The 3,158-nt window shown below is 39.8% G+C and overlaps 1 annotated feature.

The window, feature by feature from the left end:
• Nucleotides 2,273-2,567: an enhancer, noted in NCBI's record as "tiled region #15083; K562 Activating non-DNase unmatched - State 24:Quies". NCBI's record gives its function as "activates a minimal TATA promoter and a strong SV40 promoter by Sharpr-MPRA in K562 cells {active_cell/tissue: K562}" and the evidence as "EXISTENCE:reporter gene assay evidence [ECO:0000049][PMID:27701403]".

Genomic DNA, 3,158 nt, shown 5'->3' on the forward strand with positions numbered 1-3,158 from the left:
ATGGCAATAACAACAGAATCTGCCTTAGGATAGTTGCCACCTTCTTAACAATTCTTTTTGTTTGTTTGTTTTTTGGGTCGGGGGGGCGGGGGGTTGCACTGCTGGTTCAATTGATGAGTCATACTTCCCAACTAGCCATATGTTGCTACAGAAGGCATTCACTCTCTGCATTCACTAGGGATAAGAGCCAAGTAAATATAATAAATCACTTTTTACCCATCAAAAATAAGAATGAAATGCCATTTGCAGCAAGATTTAATCAGCAGGCGCTTAAGTAATTTTGATGTTGAAAGCTTGCACTCTCCTGTGATGTGATAGGCTCATTCACACCCGGGTACTCCATCATGACATTGCAGCAGTTACACCATGGAAAGGTGCTCTTGCCATTTTTTTTTACAAGCAAAAAAAAAAAATCTGTAATTTCTCAAGTTCAGTGCATTTAGGTAAAACTGCAGTCTCTGGAAGGTCCTTCTCGGATACCACTTCTCGCATGTTTGCCTTCCCTGTATCAGACCCTCTGGAATGCAATACTCTGCCTCCATGGCAAGGACAGTTATTGCTTAAGTATAACTGAGCTATTTTGCAATTAGTATTAAAACTTAAAGTTATCATTGGATCATAGGCTTGTAAATAAATATATAAATGTATCACTTTTGACCTCTTCATGAATCCAAAAACAATTTCACCACTAACATTTCCTAAGCTTAAGGGAAAAGGAATTATCAACCCAGTCTTTTTCTTTGTTTTTTGTTTTTGTTTTTGTTTGTTTTGCCACTCTGCCCAGGCTGGAGTGCTGTGGTGCAATCATGGCTCATTGCAGCCTCGACCTCCCAGACGCAGGTGATTCTCCCACTTCAGCTGCCCTAGTAGCTGGGACTGCAAGCACGTGCCATTATGCCTAGCTGATGTTTTGTTTTTCATTTGGTAGAGATGTGGTTTCACCATGTTACCCCAGGCTGGTCTCAAACTTCTGGGCTCAAGTGGTCCATCCACCTTGGCATCACAAAGTGCTAGGATTACAGGCATGAGCCACCAGGCCCAGCACTTGTTTTTCTTTAATTGCAGTACAATTTGTATAGAGTAAAATTCACCTTTTACATATACAACTCTATGAGTTTTGACAAATGCATAACCAGCACCATAATCAAAATATAGAACAAATTCACCACCCCTCAAAAATTCCCTTATGACCTTTTTTAGTTAAATTCTTCCTCTATCCCCAGCTCGTAACAACCTTTAATCAATCAAATCTTTGTATATGAATATGTTCATTATATTGCACTCTTTTTCCCTAGTAAGTAAGACTTTATTAGAAAGAATTCAGGGATCAAAATGAAATTTCATCTACAGAAAGGGAGAAAAGGCAAGTTAAGAATGATACTCTTACATTTGCTTTCATTATGTTTTGTTTTTAAGTATTTCTCTGTATTATGTTACTGTATTAGTCCATTTTCACACTGCTGATAAAGACATACCCGAGACTGGGCAATTTATAAAAGAAAGAGGCTTATGGACTCACGGTTCCACGTGTCTGGGGAGGCCTCACATTCATGGTGGAAGGCAAGGAGGAGCAAGTCAACATCTTATGTGGCAGGTAGGCAAAGAGAGCTTGTGCAGGGAAACTCCTGTTTTTAAAGCCATCAAATCTTGTAAGACCTATTCACTATCATGAGAACAGCCTGGGAAATATCGACCCTGATAATTCAATCATTTCCCACTGGGTCCCTCCCACAACACATGGAAATTAAGAAAGCTACAAGATGAGATTTGACTGGGGACACAGAGCCAAACCATATCATTTACCAATATGTAGAACTCTTATTTAATAAAAAATTTAAAAAGGATGATGGTATATGTCATAATAGATAGGAAAAAAGTCAGTTCAATTCCCCCCTGGTGAGGAAATGTCATTTCTATAACAGTATCTTAAATATTAATTAGCTTATATTAACCTTCTGAAGTGATTAATAGTTTAATCATTCTCCTAATCAGAGATGTGAAAATGTTCTCAATTTGAATCCTAGCTAATAGCTAGTAACTGCCTAGAGTCCTAGGTTACAAAGAATTCTGAAGCTTAACAGGAAATATTAATAATATGAAACACTGAAGTATTAGAAATGATTACATATTAAGTACATGTTCTTTTATTTTATTTTATTCTATCCTAACAAAAAGCCCAAGAAATTTTCCTAATGTTATCCCTATGCTATGAGAGGGGAAACTGACTTTTAGAGGGATGAAATAACTAACGCAAGTGCAAACAGGTGAGAAATGATGAAGCTGGGATTTGTATGCACAAAGCCAGGCCCAGCTGGATATTTATCAACTTTGCCACATTAAACTAAAGCAATTAGTGACACAGTATCGGGAGGGGGTGATGCAAGTTTTGAATCTGAGCTGAAATCTGAAGCATATGTTAAATACCAAAGGCACAGAGGTTGCAAAGCAAAGAGGAGCTTTTCAGGCAAAAGGCAAAGCAGGTGCAAGGACCCAACCGATAGAAGAACAAGGCACATTAGAGGAACCAAGGTGCCCCCAGAAGCTAAGGAAAAGCAGAACAAGCAGAGACAGGAGAGAGGCCTTTGATCTTTTTCTTAAGGGATTCAGGAAGCTCTTGCATAGCTTGAAGCTGGATAGTGACACAATCAGATATAGGTTTCCCAAAGGCCAGCTGCCTGTTTGGAGGAAGGCTTATTCACAAGGGTAAGTGAGTTGGAGGAAGAGCACTTAGGAAGCCATTGCAAGCAATCCAGCTGAGACATACTGGCTGTATTAGCCATGTCTTGTTCTATATAGCACTATTATATTTTGACATTTGGGGCCTAGCTGACCATAGGACTGCCTATCTCAGAGTTAGTTAATTCCTAGAGATAGCAAATCAAGGACTGAAAACATGTCTTTCACATGCAAACCAACCAATTCGGAGTCCAGGTCACCAGCTGCCTCCTTTATCAAGTTCCTACACTTCAGGCCACTGTCCTCCTGCATTAATCACCCCAGGACCAGACAGCTAGAGACAACCCCTCTGCCCCAGAGTCTGCTAAAACTATCCAAACTAATCAATCCTAAACCTGCTTACCCTGTCTTACCCACTCCTTCACAAAGAAACCGCAATCAAGACTCTTGCCCATACTTTCCGTCACTCCCTCTGCCTCCCA

This window comes from Homo sapiens, chromosome 6, assembly GCF_000001405.40.
Source record: "Homo sapiens chromosome 6, GRCh38.p14 Primary Assembly".
NCBI lineage: Eukaryota > Metazoa > Chordata > Mammalia > Primates > Hominidae > Homo > Homo sapiens.